At 35.7% G+C, this 24,794-nt stretch overlaps 1 annotated feature.

The window, feature by feature from the left end:
- Nucleotides 2,854-4,053: an enhancer, noted in NCBI's record as "BRD4-independent group 4 enhancer chr16:64313604-64314803 (GRCh37/hg19 assembly coordinates)". NCBI's record gives its function as "activates an origin of replication core promoter dependent on BRD2, P300/CBP, MED14 and CDK7 cofactors, and independent of BRD4, by STARR-seq in HCT116 cells {active_cell/tissue: HCT116}" and the evidence as "EXISTENCE:reporter gene assay evidence [ECO:0000049][PMID:35650434]".

The raw sequence follows: 24,794 nt of genomic DNA on the forward strand, positions 1-24,794 counted from the left end.
TTTCCCCATCTCTCCTATTCTATTACAACCACAAACCACTCCAAGTACTCTATTTGCAAGATGTTCAAATAGTGTGCCCTGACTTGCATGGGACTCTCTGTTCTATCGGTTATGTATCCTTCCTTTTTTCTTTCTTTTTTAAAAATTATAGTAAGAACCTTTAACATGAGATGTACCCTCTTAATGAATTTTTAAATGTACTATACAGTATTGTTAATTGTAGCCTCAGTATTGTACAGCACATCACTAGAACTTATTCATCTTGCATAACTAAAACTTTCTATCCAGTGAATAGCAACTACCAATACCACTTTCCAAACAGACTCTAGCAACCTTTATTCTGTTCGCTGCTTCTAGGAATTTGACTACTCTAGGTATCCTATATAAGTGGAATTATGGTATTTGTCTTTCTGCATCTGTCTTACTTCACTGAGAATAACATCCTTAAGGTTCATCCATATTGTCACACGCAGCAGAATTTTCTTCTTTTTAAAAGCTGAATAATATTCCATTGTATGTCTATACCACATCTTGTTTACCTATTCATCTGTCACTAAACATTTAGTCTATTTCCATATTTTGACTACTGTGTTTAAAGCTTCAATGAACACGGGAGTTTAAAGAAGACATAATAATGGCCAACAGGTATATGGAAAGGTGCTCAGCATTATAATCATTAAGGAAATACAAATTAAAACACAATGAGATATCACCTATCATGTTAGAAAAGGGAACTCTTATACACTGTTGATGGAAATGTAAATTAGTACAACCTCTGTGAAAAGAGTATGGACATTTCTTAATGAACTAAACACAGACCTACCATTTGATCCAGAAATCCTACTGCTGGGTATCTATCCAAAGGAAAAGAAATCATTATATCTAAAAAATACCTGCACCTGTATGTTTATTACAACACTATTAGCAATACTAAAGATATGGAATCAACCAGAGTTCATAAATGAATGATTAGATTAAAAATGTGGCATATATACACAATGGAATACTATTTAGCTATAATGAATAATGAAATTATGTTGTTTACAGCAACACAGATAGAACTGGAGACCATTATTTTAAGTGAAACAAATCAGACACAGAATGACACATACTGCATGTTCTTACTTCTAAGTAGGAGGTAAATTATGTATACACATGGATGTACAGAGTGGAATAATAGAAATGGATAGAAATGATACAAATGGATAGACATGATAGAGTGGAATGGTGAGAGGGTTGGAGGGGAGTGGATGATGAAAGATCACTTAAGGTGTACAATTTATATTATTTGGGTGATGGATACCCTAAAAGCCCTGACTTTAGCCACTACATAATCTGTGCATTTAAAAAAATTATACTTGTACCCCATAAATTTATGCAAATTTATACATAAAACCCCATAAATTTATACAAATTAAATATTTATCAAATAGATCATTAATCTCATGTGAAGGATGAGGTTATGTATAGTAGTTTAACTCCTGTTTTCGACTGAGTGCATGATACAGGCATTTTTCTTTGAATTCTGCATGACTATGCTATGTGAACCTTGTGATGACTCAGGTTGTAAGCCACTTTTCTATGTTTAAATTGCAGTGAAATCTTCCTTATTACAAAATACAGAGATCTCAGTTTGCCTTCACTGAATGCAAATGCAAAACTTAGGTTTCATTTTCCAATTAACTTGAAAAAAGTAAATAAATAACAAACAATTACTATCTGGTACCCACACAGATAGAGCATTACAAATTAATAACAAAATAAAACATACATAGTAACACATTTTTCATAAATTCTGCTTAATAGATCATTTAAGGATTCCTGTATACCAATAATTTCTAGAAAATCTCACCATTGAATAACCATTTAACTTTATGTAATTTAGCATTTTCCAAACTTCTGTTTTTAAACCACAGTGTCCTTAGTAACATATCTAGCAACACAGTCGACAATTGCTATATTAGGCTTTCAATTAATTTTAAAAAGCACTTTTATATAATTGTTCCTATTTAAAATGTATTATTTCAAGCATCTTGTTCAGCTAATTATAGTGAATACCAACGATGAAAAAAATATTAAGTGCATGAAATTAAGTAAATACAGCCAGTGGGAAGCAATGAGAACTTACATTTTTCTCTTTTTCTTCTTCTTTTTATGAAAAAATAGCCTGCTGAATTTAAATTAGTGAGTAAACAGGGTATTTTTATCTTCATACTTTATCATTGTAAAATATTAATTTTGCCTGTTGTAAAATATTAATTTTGCCTGAACCTAGAATATTTAAAAGTGTTTTTTTTTGGTCAAATTTGATAGTCTAAATAAGGAAGTTTTGAAGAATTTAAGTGTATTGGCAGTTGTGATGGGGGCAGGGAACTATATATCCAACAATAAAGTTCTATTTTAATAAATGTTACTTTAGTGCTATTGATGAAAAATAATTAAGATATGAGGGAAAAATCAAAAATACAAAGTATATATAGTGGAGTATGTCATTTAACAACAGATATACCACAAAGAAGAGAAGATGTCGGTGACAAGTGATTAGAAATTATTATGCGAAGTATGACATACATATTCATATTACAAGAAATAAAGCAGATGCTCAAGAAAGTAAGAAAAAGTCCTGGTGAAAACTCCAAACTATATGACTATATGCCCATGTCTGCTTCTTTGAATATCATATCAAGTTATTAGACCTCTCTAGATCTTTTTCTGCTTATGTCCCTCAGACACCAAGGACTTTATCTTGCATACAGAACTTTTTTCTAACTTCTCTTACACTGTGTCAGTTCCATATATTTCTTGAGACCCTTTTCAATCTGGGTGCATTATTAAGTGGGGAACTGGAAGAGAAAATGCTGTCAATTGTACCACTCTCATTTCCGCTTTTATTTTCAAAGTGACATAATTTCTTTTAGACTCTCATCCCTAAAAATTGATACCTGACTACAAATAGTCTTCCATGTCACTCGTCTTCACTACCTTAGCTTGTTAATATATTTATGTATGTATTTAAAATATATTTATGGGTACTTTTCTCCACCGCAGGCCAACCGCTACCTCAGAGGTTGAAAAGAGAGTGCAAAACAGCAGAAATCACTGATCATGAAATCGTGCATCTAACGTGATCAAAGTTAAGACTGAAATAATGGATGCATATAGAAGTAGTAAGAGTGTAGGTGAAATCGTGTCTGGAATTTATTCCTTCTGGTGGGTTCTTGGTCTCGCTGACTTCAAGAATGAAGCCGCGGACCTTCGCGGTGAGTGTTACAGCTCTTAAAGATGGTGTGTCTGGAGTTTGTTCCTTCAGATGTTGAGATGTGTCCAGAGTTTCTTCCTTCTGGTGGGTTCGTGGTCTCGCTGACTTCAGGAGAGAAGCTGCAGATCTTCACAGTCAGTGTTACAGCTCTTAAAGGTGGTGCATCTGATGTTGTTTCTTCCTTCTGGTGGGTTCGTGGTCTCGCTGACTTCAGGAATGAAGCTGCAGACCTTTGGAGTAAGTGTTACAGCTCATAAAGGCAGTGCGGACCCAAAGAGTGAGCAGCAGCAAGATTTATTGTGAAGAGCAAAAGAACAACGCTTCCACAGCATGGAAGGGAAGGAGCTGCTTGCAGCTGCTGGCCCCTGTGGCCACGTTTTCTTCCCTTTTTGGCCCCGCCCACATCCTGCTGATTGTCCATTTTACGGAATGCTGATTGGTCCATTTTGCAGAGGGCTGACTGGTGCATTTTTACAGAGTGCTGATTGGTAAGTTTACAAACCTTTAGCTAGAAACAGAGCACTGATTGGTGCGTTTTTACAGAGTGCTGCTTGGCCCGTTTACAAACCTTTAGCTAGACACAGAGCACTGATTGGCGCGTTTACAATCCTTTATCTAGACAAAAAAAGTTCTCTAAGTCCCCACCTGAATCAGAAGCCCAGCCAGCTTCACCTCTCAAAATGATGACAGAAATTTCTTCCTGGAAATGATAATAATATAAGTCATACAGCATTAGTAGGAACTACATTGGCAGAATTTTCAAGAAAGAGGCTGGGGTTTATCCTATAGGTTTGTTTTACTGGGGGAGTGGGCAGATGTTTATATATATTCATCAAATTGATATAACCTTTATAAAAGCAGAGAAAATTTATGTGGCCCAATTCTAGCCCTGTCTAATGAAATTACATTAACATAATACAGTAATAGAAAGTTTTTAAATTGACATTATTATATCAAAGTGCATCAAAGTGTGTTTGTTTTACGTATCACAATGTTTATTAAAACTGTATTTCCCCATCTCTCCTATTCTATTACAACCACAAACAACTCCAAGTACTCTATTTACAAGATGTACAAATAGTGTGCCCTGACTTGCATGGGACTCTCCTTTCTATTGGTTATATACCATTCCTTTTTCTTTTTTTTTTTTAATTGTAGTAAGGACCTTTAACATGAGATGTACCCACTTAAAGAATTTTTAGGTGTACAATACCGTATTGTTAATTGTAGCCTCAGTATTGTACAGCACATCACTAGAACTTATTCATCTTGCATAATTAAAACTTTCTATCCAGTGAATAGCAACTACCCCTACCACTTTCCACACAGACTCTAGCAACCTTTATTCTATTCTCTGCTTCTTTGAATTTGACTACTCTAGGTATCCTATATAAGTGGAATCACAGTATTTGTGTTACTGCGTCTGTCTTATTTCATTGAGAATAACATCCTTAAGGTTCATCCATATTGTCACATGAGGCAGAATTTTCTTCTTTCTAAAGGCTGAATAATATTACATTGTATGTTTATACCACATCTATTTATCCATTCATCGGTCACTGAACATTTAGTCTATTTCCACATTTTGACCACTGTGTATAAAGCTTCATTGAACGCAGGAGTGTAAAGAAGACATAATAATGGCCAATAGGTACATGGAAAGGTGCTCAACATTATAGTCATCAAGGAAATGCAAATTAAAACACAATGAGATATCACCTAACATGTAGAACAACTATGATTAAAAGGATAAGAGAGAGCAAGTGTTGGTCAGGGTGTGGAGAAATTAGGAAGCTTTGTGCACTGTTGGTGGGAATGTTAAATGGTGCCGCCACTATGGAAAACAGGATGGAAATTCTTTAAAAATTAAAAATATAATTGCCATATGATCCAGCAATCCCAATTCTGGTATGTGCCCAAAAGAATTGAAATCAGGATTTCAAAGAGATAAGTCTCCTTTTTCTGAGCAGCTTTTCATTGGATTTGTATCTTTTCTCTTTAGAGATTCTTAATGACATAAGGAACAAAGAATTATTATTTTCTAGTTCTCTCTAATTTCCCCTCTTCATAAAATTTTCTGTTCTGGAAAGGATAAAAAGCAGGAAATTCGGTGTGCAGAAAAATAAAGAAATTGGGCTATTTCAGGTAAACATCAGGTTTCACTTTTCTGAAAATTTATTTCACATAGTATACATTCTCTTTCCCAGAAGAGAAATTAGTCAGCTGGAACCTATACAACAAGTCAGATAACGTAGGTGAGAGGATCCATTCACCGGCTATTAAACAAGAGCAAATATTTTACCAACAACTTAAGTGCACTTCACTTTACTTGTGTTTTCTGGTTCCATGTGCCTTACTTTGAAACCTTTATATCAACTTTTGCTCTTAAATCTTTTTTCATGTAATGTAGGTTTTCTGTATGACACCTGTAAACTCAAAAAGTAAATTAATTCAGAAATCAATGCAGGATTTGTCATTGTTAAAACTGGCAGAAGGAGAGGGGTTTTCTGTTTGTTTGTTTTTTGTTGTTGTTTTCTTTTGTTTTGTTCCTTTTTAAAATATCTTAAGTCTCAACAGACTTATTCCAACTGTCAGGCTTTCTTTAAACCAATTGGCCCTCATGTAAATAGTTACTCACCTTTGAAATTTTAACACCCAACAGAAATATAAATCTCAAAAGCTACAAAAAGAAATGTTGTCCTAAGTTAAGGACAATTGTTTCCCAATATAAACATAAAATAATGATTAGATGTGGAGTACTTCCTCACTCCGCATGTAGATGAGGTTAGAATTAAGATTGAAAACCCTGAATATACAAAGTCCTTAGGAGCACCAGGTTTACATGTTTTCACTCTCTGCTTCTTAGATTCCTTGGGATTCTATAACAAATCTCTAGAATTCGCTTAGTGATTCCAAATTCCTAAAAGATATTAATCTTTGGAATTTGATAACGAGAGATCAGAATTCCCAGGAATATTCACGAATTTCTGAAATCATACATTCTGTATTGTCATAGCATTTAAAAATATATCTTAAAATAATATAATGAGCAGTTAAAAAAAAGTGAATCTTCTTGTGACAGGATTGTATTAAATATCTCAGGGGAGATTTTGTCAAAAAATATATAGAATATATACATGGTTTTTATTATCAACAAATATGATAAGATTATTTAAATAGTATGTAAAATGAATGCTGCCTAATATAAATATTTAATAATAAAAAATATGAAAGAAGGGAAACTTATCACTCAATGAATGCAAAATAAAGTAAATTAAACTTAAAATATAATAGCAGAGATAATTAATATTTAAAAGTTATTATCTTTAAAATTGAAAGTTCAAAATGCACAAAGACCATCTCATAGCCTTAATTTATTTTCTACAACAAAATTTCCAGACAGAAAAATTCCTTTCATTTTGCATTGATGCTGGTTGAATTACTATAAATTCACCCAAAATCATGTTCATGTTTGAGGATATATGTTATTTCAATAAACCTTTACTTTTTTAATGAAAAATATTTTTGTCTACTTGTCTTAATTTTAATTTTTCCATAAAAATATGAACTGCTTTTTCTACTTCAGATTTTAGATCAGTTTCTAATTTTATGTTAGAGTATTTCACAGCACATTCATATATTCTTTTTGCATTTATTCTCTAAAAGATTAACATTACATAGTGAGTATTCAAACACAGAGAAATCCCAGTGAACATTATTGAGTTGTATTTGAATAAGATAACATGCAGGACTCCTAGAAAGGATAACTGTACTATCCATAAATTTGTGTTTACATTATCACTTTAAAAATTTATTTTGCCTCTAAAAGTTGTTACTTTTTGGAACACCACTCAAAGATTTGTTCAAAGCATACTATGAATCTAAAGTAATTAATATTTAACTGATTTGCATGCATAACTCATCTTTGGCAGCCATACATAGTACCATAAACATTCACTTATAACATGGCAACAGCTACGAGGAAGATTAAATTACCAGATTGTTATTGCTTATTTCCTATGTACTCCTATCCTGGTTCCCAGAAATGTCCACTTCATTCCTTAATTCCACATATTGATGTTTCAGCTCTTGCTTTCTACTTGTTACCAAATGAATCATTTAATCCAGTGACGTTTCCATATTGACTGTGAAGCTATTATTTTCAAAGTGTAATTATAATATATATATTTTTAATTTTCCTAAATAAACTTTTCCTCAGAAATCAGTGGCACAATAACACAAAAATACAATATTCATGTCATCAGAGCCCCAGAAAAAGAGAGGAAAGAGTTTGATGTTTAAAAAAAAAAATGAAGAGAAATAAACACACAGATTCAAGGAGCTCAGTGAAATCTAAGTAAGTCCTCCAAAAATACATGCCTTGAAATATATTCAAACTGCTGAAAACTGAAGACAATGAAATAAACTTTTTATATAGCCACAGGAAAATAAACTATAAGGAAGAACAGTCCCAATGAATAAAGATTTCTTATCGCAAACCTAGGAGGCTTAAAAAAGTGACTACTCTTTTATAGTGGTTAAAGAAAAACAAGAAACAAAAAAACAGAAAAAACATGTCAACCCAGAATGCTATGTCCAGTAAAATTATATTTCAGAAGTGAAGCTGAATAAAGGCATTTTCAGTTTAAGAAAAACTGACAGAATCTGTTACCATCAGTCTTGCTCTCAAATTATCAGCAATGGATGTACTCTCTATAGAAAGAAATAATATCAGAAGGAAACTTAGAATGTTAGGAATAAAGAAAGAGCAACAAAATGATAAATATCTTGGGTAAATATAATAAACCATTCTTCTCCTTTGAGTTCTTTAAAATGTTTGACAGTTGAAACCAAAAATGGGCCAGGCCCAGTGCCTAATGTCTGTAATCCCAGAACTTTGGGAAGCTGAGGTGGATGGATGACTTGAGCCTAAAAGGTTGAGAACAGCCTGGGCAACATAGTGAGATCTCATCTTTATCTTCTAAAAATAAAAATGTAAAAAAAGAAAGCAAAAATGACAATATTATTTGATAAGGTTTTCTCTCTCTATATCTATATAGCTATGATATAAAAATTATAACAAAGAGGAAAGTAAAGTCATCTGTACGGTGGTGAGGTTTTGATATCTCAATTGAAGTTATAACATGTTGATACTAACTATACTGTAAAAATATTAAGAATCTATATTGTAATCATTAGAATAGTTTTAAAAAACATTAAAAAGTTATAATCAATAGAAAAATTAATTGGCAATACTAAAAATATTAAAATATTCCAAAAATGTAGGAAAGTAGAAAGAAAAAAAGAGATAACACAGAAAACCAGTAATAAAATTATAGATTTGATCCAAACATATCAAAAATGTAAAGTATCTAAATATAACAAAAGAAAGAGATTGTGAGGATCAATTTTATTTTATTTTTATTTTAAATTTTTAATTTTTTTATTGTTTTGAAACATAGTCTCACTCTGTCACTCAGGCTGCAGTGTAGTAATACAATCATTGCCTATTGCATCCTTGAACTCTTGGGCTCAAGTGACCCTCCCACCTCAGCCTCGCCAGTAAGTGGGACTACAGGCATGTACCACCACACCTGGCTAATCTTTTTAAAAAAAATTTTTTGGTAGAGACGCAATCTCCCTGTGTTTCCCAGGTTGTTCGCAAACTCCTGGCTTCAAGCAATCCTCCCACCTTGACATCCCAAAGTGTTAGGATCACAGGCATAATAAGTCACTGTGCCTAGCCCAAGAATGGATGCTAAAATAAAGATATGACCCAACCATATGCTATGTATGAGAAATTCACTTCAGGTCAGAAACAGTGGCTCATGTCTGTAATCCTGGCACTTTGGGAGGCCGAGGCGAGGGATCACTTGAGTCCAGGAGTTCGAGACCTGCCTTGGCAACATGGTGAAATCCCATCTCTACAAAAAAATTAACCAAGCATGGTAGCATGGTAGTACGTGCCTGTAATCTCAGCTACTCAGGAAGCTAAGGTGGGAGGATCACCTGAGCCAAGGAGTTTGAGGCTGCACCACTGCAGTCTAGCCTGGGTGACAGAACAAGACTCTGTCTCAAAAGAAAAAAAAAAGAAAAGAAAAAATAAATTCCCTCCAAATATAATGCTATAAGTCAAATAAAAGTAAAAAACTAACAGAAAAAAAAATAAAGACATACTATGCAATGCTAATCCCGAGAAAGACGGAGTAGTTACCTTTATATCAGAAAAGAAGACTTCTAGTCAAAGAAAAGTACTAGAAATAAAAAGAGGCATGGCAAATAATAAAAGAATCGATTCTCTAAGAATAAAAAATTATTGCCGTGCGCGGTAGCTCAGCCTGTAATCCCAGCACTTTGGAAGGCCGAGGAGGGCAGATCACAAGGTCACATCAAGACCATCCTGGCTAACACGGTGAAACCCCGTCTCTACTACAAAATACAAAAAATTAGCCGGGCCTGTTGGTGGGCGCCTGCAGTTCCAGCTACTCAGGAGGCTGAGGCAAGAGAATGGCGCGAACCCGGGAGGCGGAGCTTGCAGTGAGCCGAGATCGCGCCACTGCACTCCAGGATGGGAGACAGAGTGAGACTCCGTCTCAAAAAAAAAAAAAAAAAAAAAAGAAAGAATAAAACATTATTATACCTCTCTATAGAGCTTTAGAATATACAAGCATAATCTGACCAAAATGAAAAAAGAAATAGATTAATCCACAATAATTAGAGATGTAAATTCTTTCACTTAGTAAAAAGAAAAATTAATATTAACAAAATCAATATTAGCATAAGAAAACTGAGCAATACCACTGATCAACTGACTCTAATTGATATTTATACAGCATTTGACTGAACAACAAAACAATATGCATACAAGTATACATGGAACATGCACCGAGAAAGATAATATCTTGGGTAATAAAACTAATCTTAATATTTTTTAAATAATAGAAATTATATGTTATGTTATTGGATTACAGTAAAATTTAATAAGAAAGCAGTAACAATCATTTACCTTATTAAAGCCTTATATTGACACTTTTTTTTTTAACAGAGTCTTGCTCTGTCGCCCAGGCAGTGGTGCAATCTCAGCTCACTGCAACCTCCAACTCCTGCGTTGAAGTGTTTCTCCTGCCTCAGCCTCCCAAGTAGCTGGGATTACAGGTGTCTGCCACCACGCCTAGCATTTTTTTGTATTTTTAGTAGAGACGAGGTTTCACCATGTTGGCCAGGCTGGTCTTGAACTCCTGACCTCAGGTAGTCCACCCACTTTAGCCTCCCAGAGTGCTGGGATTACAGGCATGAGCCACTGCGCCTGGCCGACAGTTGCTTTCAAAATCCCATTCACGTAAAGCAGGTTTCCATGCAGTACATAAAATCTCAAAAATCTCCTACAAAATATTACTGAATAAATAATATTTGATAACATAAATAATATTGATAAAACAGAATTCTATATATATAATTATGTATATATAGAATTCTATATATAGGATTAAATATATATATTTAAATAAACCTATAACCAACTGTGGTTTTTCACAAGAATGAAAGTCTTGTTTAATATGTGAAAAAAAAATCTCACTATCTAAACAGTCTAATGAAGAAAATCCACATGATCATACAAATTCATGCAGAAAAAGTAATTGACAAAATTCAACATCTATCTGAATGAAAATTCACAGAAAACTATAAATAGAACTTCCTCAACTTGATAAAAGCCTATTTTGAGAGCTACAAGCTAAAATGGGATTCTAGTGCCAGAGAGATTAGCAACCCTGTCTTAACGAAAAATGAATAGAAGCTGAGCATGTGTGTTTACTGTGTCCTTCATGAAATACTTCTTTTACCTGACTGATGGCCTAACGCCTAGTTGTCCTGCTAATGACCAGGGGTCCCTCACCCAGAAAACTTGATTATGTTGGCAGATGCCCTTGAGGCTCTTGTCTGACATGTGTCCTGGTATGTGTCCAGTTACATGCCTAACATATTGTCTGATATGTGTCCAGTTATGCCTGCCTAACAGTTGCTTTAGCACTGGGGCCCTGCCTTGTGTTCTCCCTGACATGCCAGGGTAAACCTAGCTTGGGGATGGCCCCTAGTTCTTCAGATGGAAAGTGAAAATTCAATACACTACCACAATAGAAAAAACATTCAAATATTTTTCCCTACAGATTCTGAGCCGGCAGGGCACAATGTGCTGGGAGGGCAAACCTCAGGGTTACTAGGTTACATGAGGCAGGAATGAAGTGTCAGGAAGAGGGAGAGAGAGTGAGAGAGAGAGCATTGCAAATAGCAAAATACATACATAGAGAATAGGATGTGGGTCACTTTAAATTTGAAGGCAAATGCTTAAATGGCCCCTTTGGAGGAAGCAGCAGCAAAGCGAGGAGCCCAGTCTGCTAGGTGGGAAAGATGTCTCTAAGTTCTTATCTCTGGCCATAGATTTGGTATTCTATTTCTAATATCTAGGCAGTAGATATTAGAAATTTAGACATTTCTAAATTTGCTGTGGCATTCTTATTACAAGGGCACCTACAAGAAAAACTATAGCTAACTTTATACTTAATTATGAAAGACAAAATTATTTCCCCCTAAGTTCAAGAACAAGGTAAGGATGTCTAGTCCCATTAATATGTCATTCCTATTAAACAGGAAGCTCTAGCTAGTGCAATAAGACAAGATATACTTTTAGGCCGGGCGCATTGGCTCACGCCTGTAATCCCAGCTCTTTGGGAGGCCGAGGTGGGCAGATCATGAGGTCAGGAGATTGAGACCATCCTGGCTAACACGGTGAAACCCTTCTCTACTAAAAATACAAAACATTAGCCAGGCGTGGTGGCGGGCATCTGTAGTCCCAGCTACTTGGGAGGCTGAGGCAGGAGAATGGCATGAACCTGGGAGATGGAGATTGCAGTGAGCCGAGATTGTGCCGCTGCCCTCCAAGCTGGGCGACAGAGCGAGACTCCGTCTCAAAAAAAAAAAAAAAAAAAAAGACGAGATATACTTTTAAAAAGGCATACAGATTTGGAATGAAGAACTAAAACTGCCACTGTTTGCAGGTGACATGATTGCCTAAGTAGAAAATCCTAAGGAACATAGAAACAAAATAAAACAATAAAATAATAAAATCTTTCAGGATTATTAAGTGACTTTAGCAAAGTGGAAGATGCATGACTAAAACACAAAAATCTACATTTCAATGTACTACCAAAGCAATTTATCAATATAGATGTAAGTTTAAAAATGTAAATATTTAAAATACTTCTAAAAAAGATTTAAATTAGCTCCAAAATAAAATACTCATTAATAAATTTATAAAACAGATTTAGAAACTATATTCTGAAAAGTTCAAGACACATGAAACAAATCAAAGAAGACCTTAATAAATAAAGATGCATACCATTTTCATGGATTGGAGACTCAAATTGGTAAAAATGTCATCCGTCCCATATTTTTTTGCAAATTTAATTTAATTTCAATAGAATCCCAGCAAGATATTTTTATTGACTTAGAGAAGCTCATTCTAAAATTTATTTCAGAAAGCAATGGAACTAGAAGAAGCAAAACAACTTTGAAAAGAAAAATAATAAAGTTAAAGGAATCATCTTACCCAACTTAAAAATTTTTTTTAATTTAACATTTTTTAAAAGATACTGTTAAAAAATTAAATGATTAGCTATGGAATGAGAAAATACATATTCAAATCACATGTCTGACTTAAAGACTTGTATCCAGAATATATAACAAAGTCTCAAAACTAAATAACTAGGAAGAAAACAAATGGGTCATTAGTAAATGGCCAAAAAACTTGAATAGATAATTCACCAAAAAGGGTTATGGTTGTCAAAAAAGCATATTTAAAAGATGTTCAATTTGTTAGTCATTAGAAATATGCAAGTTAAAAACATGCCATACCACTGCACATCTATTAGAAAAGCCATGAAAAATACTGTGAGTATCAATTGCACACAAGGATGTGGAGTAAGTTGAACTCTTGTATGTTATATATGTAGAGAACTGCTGAACATTCTTAAGCAATAGCAGATTCCCCATCTATTGTCTAAATAGCTTTAAAACAAAACAAAACTTAAAAATATTGTTAATGTAGAGAATCTTAAAATATTATCAGATTCTTTCAAATATTTACATGTCATTTCATTTAATTCCTCTATTTTATCTCTAACAAAATTGATGTGGTCTTCTGAATTTGTTTGCCTGTATGTGTTTGTTTTGCTTGTTATCTTGCCTTTGAGAAATGGAAATACAGAAACATCAATAATACATTAAAAGAGATTAAAGAAAAATAAAATATTTTATATTTCTATTTATTTATTCCATAAACACTTAGTAGCACACACCCTATCCCCAGCAAGATGTTAGTCACTAGGAATTAAGACAACAAACAAATAAAAACCAGTCAGAATGCCTGCCTTCAAAGGGCTCTTTGTCTCATAAAAGACACCAAAACGTAAGTCTATGATTAAAGTATACTGTGGTTTGGGTTACAGTAGAATTATCCACAAAATTTGGTAGATACACAGAAAACGGACCCAAAATATAGCCTCGAGGTATTTTTGAGACTTGGAAGATGAGTAGGAGTGAGCTAACAGAACACCACAGGAAGGCTATATATGCCAAGCCCAGGAAACGTGCTCAGATTTTTGTAAGTGTGGCACATTCAAGAAAGTGCAATTAATTTCATATGGTGAATGTATGGAGAAGTGGGAAGAGAGAGGAACCTGAATAAGACAGCTGGAGCCAGTAGATAATGGAACTTGTGCTTCATGTCAGGGAGAGCAAATCTAATGCTTTGGTTCTGCCTTTTATTAGCTCTAAAACCTAATCAACATCTTTGGAAATTCAGTGTGCAAAACTAGATTAAAACTATAGCTTTCTAGTTATGGGTGTGAGGAGAACTGTCAAAACGGTAAAACCAACAACATTTCTAGCTGGTATCCCCGGAGTATCCTCCCTAGCCAAAGTTTGGAAAATACTGCAGGAATAATTGGGTAGTAACAATGGGACTTCAGAAGATAAATGGTAATATCAGATTTATAATTTGGAGAGAATAGTATACATAAACAAGGGCAGTATTCACAGAGAGGGAAATCTCTGAAAAAGACAAAATTAAAAGCACCCTTTGGATTTAAGTGATCACCAATGTATGCCATTGTAACATGTAGTGGGCATGTGGGTGCCACAATATGAGACATTTTACATGGAGTGCCTAAAGGAAGTTTTCCAACTTTATGGCAATACAGAAGAGAGCTGACCTAAAATGTTAATAATTACACTCTGAGTTAACATCACACTCTGAGAATAACACACCGTTTTTTACCACAGCACACTTCTGTGACTCCTGGTCACCAAAATGTATGGAGATTCATCCCCACCACTAATCAATCAATTCTGCAGCAGATTCTCCAGAGGACATAAGTTAGGTGTCCTCTAATTCAATTCAATTCTCACACTACCTGCCGAGAGATAGCATCAGATCCAATAAGTTGAGGGCTCAGGCCCACAAGATTGCCCTTCAATTCAGATGCCAGTCGCAACCACAGATTTTGTCTATGCTTCTGACTGACTGGCTATAAATCGAGGCTCCCACCACCCCCTCCTGGGGTTCAATTAATTTGCTAGTAAGCCTCACAGAACTCAGGGAAACAAGTACTTACTTCTGTTTACTGGTTTATTATAAAGAATACAGATGAACAATCATTGCACAGAGCTAGGTATGTGGGAAGGGGCGCAGAACTTCCCTGTCCTATCACCCTCCAGAAACATCCATGTGTTCAACTATCCAGAAGCCAATGATAACGTCATTGGCCATTGGTGATCAGTTCAACCTTCAGCCCCTTTCCTCTCCACAGAGGTTCAGGTATGGGGCTGAAAGTCCCAACTCTCCAATCATGCCTTGTTTTTTTTGGTAACCAAGCCTCATCTTGAAGCTATCTAGGGATCCCCAGCCACCAGTCATCTCATTAGCATGCAAAAAACACTCGTCACCCTTGAAAGTCCAAGGATTTTAGGAGCTGTATGTTAGAAAACTGGGAAGAAGACCAAATATATCATTCACAATATTACATACACACGTTCTTTATCAGAACACATTGATCATAACAAATTGTTTAATGAATAATATACTGCAAATTTTTATCTAGAAGGAGAAATATCAGCTATTTCAACAATTCCTAATCAGGGTTTCTCTGTGTTCTGCAGGAATATTCATGTATTGCAAGTTCCCCAGGGATATGTATGCACATTTGAATTTGATGAGCTCTAAGTCTAGACTGTCACCTGGTTGAGAGCTCAGTCTCTGTCTTATACATTCAAACATTGCATATGTCTCTTACAGTGTTAAATGGAAGAACAGATTTGGGTAATATTTGCAGTTTTAACTTTTACAAATAATGGAAATGAGATTGAGAGAGGTTGTGAGGCTTGTCTAAAGTCACATAGTCCTGCAAAGTTCTCCTGAGATTCAAACTAGGTTACGTTACCTGATACAATGACCAAGGAATCCACTAATGAAACTGTCTTTGCAAAATTATGATAATAAGAGAAATCCGATATGACTGACTCCATCTTGCTTTTAGCCTCACAGGTTGGCTGTCTTTGCTCATGCATGGGCATGGGGCAAGCTAATTTGGGAAAAAATTTAGTATATAGTTTAAATGATAATAGCACTTTCCAAAAGCTAAACTGCCCTTGTAAAACTAAGAAAGGCCACCAAGTTAAGAAGATGAGAGGGACCTGAATTTTACTAAGATGTAGGTGTAGTCAAATGATTACTAACAATACAAATAATTTATTCCAGAGGTCACAAGATTTACAACTTCCTCAATTACTCCTGCAGGTAACATCACTATTCCTAATATTGGCCTTATGAGATGTCTTTTTAGATCTTTGCATTTATGAAAACCAGATGGCCCTACTTGGACTCGCTGACCGGTCCTATGGCCCCCACCCAGGAACCAACACAGTGCAAGAAGACAGCTTTGACTCCCTATGATTTCATCTCCAACCCAACCAATCAGTACTCCCCACTCGCTGGACTCCTACCAACCAAACTATCTGAAAAATTCCTAACTTCTGGGCCTCTGGGGAGACTGATTTGAGTAATAACTCTTGCCTTTTGCTTGGCGTGGCCCCACCTTATGTCAATTACACTCTCTTTATTGCAATGCCATGGTCTCTGTGAATTGATCTGCTTTGTGCAGTGGATGGAAGGAACTCTTTAGGTGGTTACACTAATATTTGTATTTACACACCCCCCAACCCAGAGACCCTGTTCTGTATTCCCCTGTGGATATTTCAAGTTTTTCATGGGGACAATGTATACTTAGATGAAAAGATTACTTTTAAGAATTAATACATAGTGAATAATGCTGTTTGAGTTTATTTTTGTTGTTGTTTTTTGAAAAACACTCAAGGGTGGTAAGGTGTATGTGTGTGTATGATAGGGGTAGGATATCAAGGCAAGGGAAATGACCTCCTCTCAAATTGTCATTTGCCAACAGTTTCAAGTTCTGTTCATATCTAATCTAATTGCTTACTGCAACTGAAGCCCAGAATGATAATTCCAATTTTACATAATGCTTTCCCTTTGGTCTCTTGAGGAGGTGCAAAGGATTTTTGAGAGTGAGAATAACCGGATGTCCAAAAGAAGCAGGAGATATACCAAAGGGGTGAACCCAAAGGATTTGAAGAATCTAACCAAGAGAAGACTCTTTTTAGTGAGTTGATTTTTTAATGTGCAAATGTGGACTAATAATTCCCTTTTATATCCTAATTAGGGTGTGAAGCTCCCTGGGGCTCTCAACAGCTCTTGGCCATTTGTTCTGCTGTACCTGAGAGTAAGTGCTGAGATTTTTTTCTGATTCAAGTCAGATTGACAGAGCATCTCCAAAAAATCCCCTGACCTGTTTAGAGTAAGGTGATAAATAATTAAGATGTTGGGAGAGATAGAAAGACTTTTACCTTGCCTGATCCTTTCGAAAGGCAGTGGGTTTTCAGATTGTAAGGCTCTGTGAGAATGTTCTAATGTTCTTTTCTGATGACTTAGACCTAAGAGAGAATCAGTAGGAAGTAAAGCAATTATACTCATTGTGTAACTTAATGACACAATGTAATGTGTCTGCTAAATGGATGTAAATATATGTGGGTTATTAAAGCAAGGTTATGGATCTGAAGAAAGCAATAACCAAACTTTACAACATTTATGACAATATTCAACAAGCTAATATTAAACAGACTTTTAAGGAGTTTCAAGCAACTTCATGTAATAGATGGAATTAACGAAAAAGAAACGGCAGCTCCAAGGAGTATCAATCCAATCAATCTTTTTCTCATTTTGTAATAATTTATTTGTATTTTTCTCCCAGACACTGTGAACATATGTGTTTATTTCTGCTTTGACATATTGGAACTCATTACCAAGCGGCTTTTTTTCTAAATATCCTCTGAAATATTTACACAAATTATAGACTTAAAACAATACTGCTTGTAAATTAACTTCTATTTTATTATTATTTTTCCTGTACTTAAGTCCAAGTGAATTCTAATCTCAGCATCTAATTGTGCTTCTGTTAATGGAGATAGGAAGAAGATCTCAAGGTTTAGAGCTCCCCATATGTGCTGTAAATTTGACATTTGTTTCAAAATACTGTTTTTGACACATATGCAGCACATAAACAATTTGTAGGATAATGTGACCTCCTTACATATTGATAGCATTCACTATTGCTGATATTATGGAGTGTTGATACCATACACTTGCTCTATGACAAACTGAGATTTTTACTTTTAATGTAATCCACAAGTAAAGAAAGTACTATAAAATTGTGGATTCTTAAAGTTTGTTTTAATGGTGAAAAAGATGTACAACATAAAATTTACCATTTTATTCATTTTAAGTGTATAGTTTGAGGGCTTTAGGTATAATCGCATTGCTGTGTCACCATCTCCATCATCTACCTTCAGAACATTTTAGCTTTTAAAACTAAAACTCTGCACCCATCAAACATTCCACCTTCTCCCTATCTCCTGACAACCCCTATTCTAATTCCAGTCCTTATGATTTTGACTACTCTAGGTAACTCAGGTAAGTGGAATTGTAGAGTATTTGTCTTTTTGTGCCTGGCTTATTTCACTTAGCACAATGTCCTCAGGGTTTATCCATGTTGCATATGTCACAATCTAATTTCTTTTTGAGGCTGAATAATAGTCTACTGTCTGCATTTACCACATCTTGTTCATCCATTCATCTGTTATGATGAACATTTGTGTTGTTTACACATTTTGACTAATGCAAATAATGCTGCTATGGACAAGGGTGTACAACATATGTGTTGGAGTTCTTATTTTTTTAATTTGGTTATATACCCAGAAGTAGGATTCCTGCAACATTTTGTAATTCTATGTATAATTTTTGAGGAATGGCCATATCATTTTTTTGCAGTTACTGCCCCATTTTAGATTCCCACCAACAATGCAGAGGGCTCCAATTTCTCCATATCCTTGCCAACACTTATTATGTTTTGTTTTGTTTTAAGTAAATCCATGCTAATGATGTGAACTGATACGTCACTGTGGTTTTGACTCGCATTTCCCTTATGATTAGTGGTGTTCAGCATCCATCTTTTCCTGTATCCATTGACTATTTGTCTATCTTTAGAGAAATGTTTATTCAAATTCCTTGACAATTTTAAAAAAATAACCTTGGGGTTTTTGTTGTTATTGAGTAAAATTATGTTCTTAATTGGATTTTACCCCATTTTAGTGTTTGTAAATTCATGGCTTTGAATTTTATTCAAGTGTCTTTACAACAATAAATGAGGTTTCGCTACATAAATTTTCATGGGTTGCCTCTTAGCATCATTCAGCATGGATTTACACAATTTACTAAATGCACCGGCCCATAACATAATTTAAGCTGAGCTGAACTGTTGTCTGCAGATTCATAGAAAAATGAAATAAGATCAAAAGAGCCAGTCCAGGTACCAGGTACTTTTTTTTTTTTTTTTGAGATGGAGTCTTGCCCTGTCGCCCAGGCTAGAGTGCAATGGCATGGTCTTGGCTCACTGCAACCTCCGCCTTCAGGGTTCAAATGATTCTCCTGTCCACCACCACGCCCAGCTAATTTTTTGTATTTTTGGTAGAGACGGTGTTTCACCATGTTGGCCAGGCTGGTCTCGAACTCCTAGCCTTGTGACCCACCCTCCTCAGCCTCCGAAAGTGCTGGGATTACAAGGCATGAGCCACCACGCCTGGCCCAGGTACTTCTTATAATCCACAGTTTACTCCAAAGGAGCTAAAAGAAAGCTACTAATTATTAGTTGTGTCTTACAAAAATAAAGAGTTGATGTTGTCAGAGGCATTGCAACCAGAGCAACTTCATCTTGAATAGGGGCTGGATAAAATAAGGCCGAGATCTACTGGCCTACATTCCCAGACGGCTAGACATTCTAAGTCATAGGATGAGATAGGAGGTCAGCCCAAGATACAGGTCATAAAGACCTTGCTGATAAAACAGGTTGCAGTAAAGAACCCAGCTAAAACCCACCAAAACCAAGATGGTGACGAGAGTGACATCTGGTCGTTCTCACTGCTACACAACTACCAGCACCATGACAGTTTACAAATGCCATGGCAATGTCAGTAAGTTACCCTACATGATCTAAAAAGGGGAGGCATGAATAATCCACCCCTTGTTTAGCATATCATCAAGAATTAACCATAAAAATGGGCAACCAGCAGCCCATGGGGCTGCTCTGTCCATAGAGTAGCCATTCTTTTATTCCTTTTCTTTCTTAATAAACTTGCTTTCACTCTATGGACCCACCCTGAATTCTTTCTTGCACGAGATCCAAGAACTCTCTCTTGAGGTCTGGATCGGGACCCCTTTTTGGTAACAATGTGATATAAGATGCAGTTTACCTTAGAAATAATAGAGTTGAATTTGGTTTAAGATGATATATTAATAGTAAAACACAAGTTAACATGTAGCAGAAACGAGATGTATAGAGCCTATTGCTTCTTTGACATCTCCAATTAGATGTCCATCCAAAAAGCAGGACTAAAATCATACTAAACTCACCCTTTCTCTCCAAATCCTGACATTCATTTCAGTTCTCTCCTCCAGGCAATACTGCTCCTACCCACTCATGTACTGGAGGCCAAAGCTTGGCAGGCCCCATCTCATACTCCTCTGCACGCTCTCTCATCCCTCCCCATTCAATCCAGGTATAAATTCTACCCCATAAATAGCTCACAAATGTATCGATTTCTTTCCATTCCTTTTGATATTTCCATGTCCCAGGCCATCTTGACTGGAATACTGGGACAACTTCACAACTGGAGATTCTGATTTCATCTTTATCTCTTTCCAACCCATTTTCTGTATCATAAATCCTTCCTGAAACACAAACTTGCTAATGTCTTTCTCTTACCTCATACGTATTTATAAGGTTCTTGTTACCCTCAGGATAAAGTCAAAAGCTCTGATTTAGCTTGAAAGGCCCGTTAGGACTGTGACATGCACATTTATCTCTGTATACTCTTTCTCTCTTCCTTCTTCTCTTTGCCCCACCCCGGAGCCTTAAGTAAATCCCCCAAATGCATATTCTCAACTTTAGAGCTTTGCTTATTTCATCATTTGTTTCTGGAACACACTTGACCTCTTCAAGCTTTGTAAGACTGACTTCTACTTCCGTTAGAGTAGGCAGATAGCTGGAAGCCCCCAAGAAAAGGGAAAAGTCTGAAAAGTCTCACACCCCTGGGACCACTGAAAACCTGCATGCTAGTTATAAACAGAGAGGAGGGGAAATACCCGAGCAGAAAGGAATGCCCCTTAAGATGCTCAGTAATTGCTCCCTCTGTAGTTACCCTACCTGAATGTAGGTTATATGCTCCTAAGGAGGGCAAAGGAGAAATCCCTAAGATACACTCCGGGGTAAAAAGTGCAGATTTAACCACTATGTGACCTTTCTGGGGTGGCAGTAATGAGCAACGCAGCCAATATGTAGGATTGCTAGCTAGCAACAGCCTGTACATGCGCACCAACTAAGAGTAAGGGTGGGGTACCACAGACCTGGGGCAGGAACTAGGAGGGGACAGGGCAGAGACCTAAAGCAGGAGCAGAAAACCTAGACAAAGAAAAAGGCAGAAACTTAAGACAGAGGTGGGAACTTCAAGAAAGGGTCTGAAATAATAAAAAGCCGGTGCGGAACTCTCAAGCTGCTGCTGGCTCAATCCCTTCGGCAGGCGCTCTGCTTCAGTTTTGCAGAGTGTACTGTCCCCTCAAATAAACTCTCTGCTATTTTCCATCAGTAAATTATCTTTTTGGCAAAATCAGTCATTTGGCAGAATGCTTTCTCCAAGAGGACAAAGAACTGAGGATTCCTGCACTTCCCGGTCACGCTTCTATACCAATTGTAAATTTAGAAGAAATTCTTTGGTTATCTTTTCTTGACTCTTAAATCTGGATAAAATGCCCCAATGCTCTGCTTTTGCTCCCCCAGTAATTTCCCTAAAGTAACTCATCACATTGTATTCTTTTATCCTTTTAATTCATATGACCCTCCACCAGATTGAAATTCCATGAGGGCAAGCAACTTATCTGTTTTGCACATAGTTTGATTCAATTCCCCAACGCGATTCCCAAGTATTAGGTCAGGGAACGCTAATTCCTTATTTCCCCGCCTCATCCCCCACAAAGTTAATATGTTGAGGTCCTAACTCCTCGTAACTCAGAATATAACTGTATTTTCAGATAGGACTTTTACAGAGGTAGTCAGGTTAAATGAGGTCATATGAATGGGCTCTAATTTAATATGACTGGTGTCCTTATAAGAAGAAAAGAAATCAGGGATGCAAGGGCACAGAGAAAAGATCATGTGAGAAAACAGCTAGAAACAGCTGTCTGCAAGCCAAGGAGAGAGGTCTCAGTAAACCAAACCTGCTAACACATTAATCTTAGACTTTCAGCCTCCAGGGCTGTGAGAAATAAATTTGTTGTTGAAGGCACGTGATCTGTGGTATTTTGCTATGGCAGCCCTAGTCGAATAATATTCTGGTAAATGTAGACAGTTAACAAAAATGTGTTGAATAAATGAAACTTGGCCATAATCAAGAAAGATTTTCATCAATTTTTAATTAAACTTTGCAGTGATTATTTTAATAACACAAGTTTTACACATACTTTGAGTAATTTACTCTGCTATATATTTTTCTCTGCTGTAACAATCTTGTAAGTTGGCCATAATTACCTCCAATTCTCAGATGAGGAAACTGAAGTTCAAGAAGTTTAACTGAATTATCTGAGGATATTCAATTAGTAGCAAAGTGAAATTTCAAAGTTCTGGTTTTGAATTACTGATTCTGTGTTCAGCATATTGTTATAACATAATATTAATACCTCCTGAATCATCTCTTCTAATCATGTTTACTTTACTTTGGTTTCCTTATAAACAATGCAATAGCATTATTTCTTATATGAACCTATTTATGTTATCATGAACATTTGAATTTAAATATGATTTCGTGGTATATCGTACTTTAGGAAACCAATAAATTATCCTTGAGAAATAGGATTTCCTCAATGTTTGGTCTAAAATTGGCTTGAGTCTACAAAGCACTAATTATTTGATGAATTTAGAGAATTCACATTAAAATGACAGTTTAAACAGTATATTTTGATGTGTTAAATGTCATATAATTAATACATGAGTGTTCATTTTAAAATAAATTAACTATTCTTACAGAACACATTTAAACCCATCTCTTGGCATTATGATACCACTGAAAGCCTATTAAACTCAGAGTTAAAGGCAACTGGCTTCACATCTTAGGTGGAAGACCTTCAAGTGACATGTTCTTGATATTTAGGTAATCTCTCTGGATGCCACTTTTATTTAAAATATAACGTGCACCTGAAAGAATGATTGTGAGAATGAAAAGAATGAACACATATAAAACCTCAACACAATGTTATTACTGTTAACTTTGTCATGAAGGAAGAAAGATTTCCTTCAAGATTTTTATAGCCAAATATCTCTTCAAAACCTAGAATAATGAAACCATATTTGAAAGCTATTAAAAAAAGAATTAAAAATAACAAGTTTGCATGCTTTATCTAGAGCAGTGTCCTACAAGTATAAAAGTCTGAAGCCATCTGAGGCTCTTCACCTAGACTGACACACTCTTCTCTTTTTTCTTGCAGTACTGACAAATATATCTATGTATTTGTAATCTTTGGAAAGCTGTTGGTTCCATCTTTGAGCTTTACAGTGACAACAGAGCTTGAAGAAAAAAAAAAAAGGCTGGTTCTTGGGTTGAACCTCGGGAATTTTGTTTCCAATTATAAAGGAGTGGAACTTTAAGCAGCCCGTAAGTTATCCTTAAGCCTGTTTCAGCACAGTTTTCTTATTATGTCTATAATTATTTCCTTTATTACTTAACAGAAGTTTGATTCTTTTCTCATCTTAAGGAAATTTTGAAATCATTAAACTACACAGATAACCAGAGGAAGGAAATGTTCTACTGATTCCAAAAACTTACTCCTGGTCTCTGCTATAGAGTGTGTGAAAAACAGCCTTCTGCAAATCTGGCATGCTCTAGCTGTATTCAGTTTGTTGTCAACTATGTCATGAGTTGATAAGCTTTGCCAAATTCACAGTGGAAGAAAGTGTTTTCTTCTTTCTTTCTTTCTTTTCTTTCTTTCTTTCTTTCTTTCTTTCTTTCTTTCTTTCTTTCTTTCTTTCTTTTCTTTCTTTCTTTCTTTCTTTCTTTCTCTCTTTTCTTCTACTTCTTTTTTCTTTTTTTTTTTGACAGAGTTTCAGTCTTTGTTGCCCAGGCTGGAGTGCAATGGCACAATCTTGAATTAGTGCAACCTCCACCTCCTGGGTTCAAGTGATTTTCCTGCCTCAGCCTTCCAAGTAGCTGGGATTACAGGCATGCACCAGCACACCTGGCTAATTTTATATTTTCAGTAGAGATAGGGTTTTGCATGTTGGTCAGGCTGGTCTTGAACTCCTGACCTCAGGTGATCTGCCTGCCTCGGCTTCCCAAAGTGCTTGGATTACAGGCGTGAGCCACCACACCGGGTGCTCTCCTTCTTTCTTAATAGGTGGAGAAGCTTCAGTTGTTTCTTCACTGTTTCTGACATATATATATATATGTATGTATTTTAAACTGGTCTAAATGGTGCTTGCATCTGATTTGAAGAGTGCTGGAAAATAATAAAATTTGCACATTTCCAAAATAACCCCACATTTATCTAACCACTACTGTGAATGCTGCCTTCTCTGTGTTTTGGTCACAGATATTTTTCTATGTTTGTATAATAATGACAACGTCTCCCTAGCTGTGTGTTCAACTAAGACACACTTGGTGATATGGGTGGGTATTGTTAAGAATAGTGAGAGGTGATTTATATCACCGAGAAGGCAGAATAGTTTATTTGTAGAATAGGTGTTTATTTTTTCAGAAAATAAATACATAATTATTTTAGGAGTTTCAGAAAATTTAGAAAAGTCACAAA

Source organism: Homo sapiens, chromosome 16, assembly GCF_000001405.40.
Source record: "Homo sapiens chromosome 16, GRCh38.p14 Primary Assembly".
Classification (NCBI taxonomy): domain Eukaryota; kingdom Metazoa; phylum Chordata; class Mammalia; order Primates; family Hominidae; genus Homo; species Homo sapiens.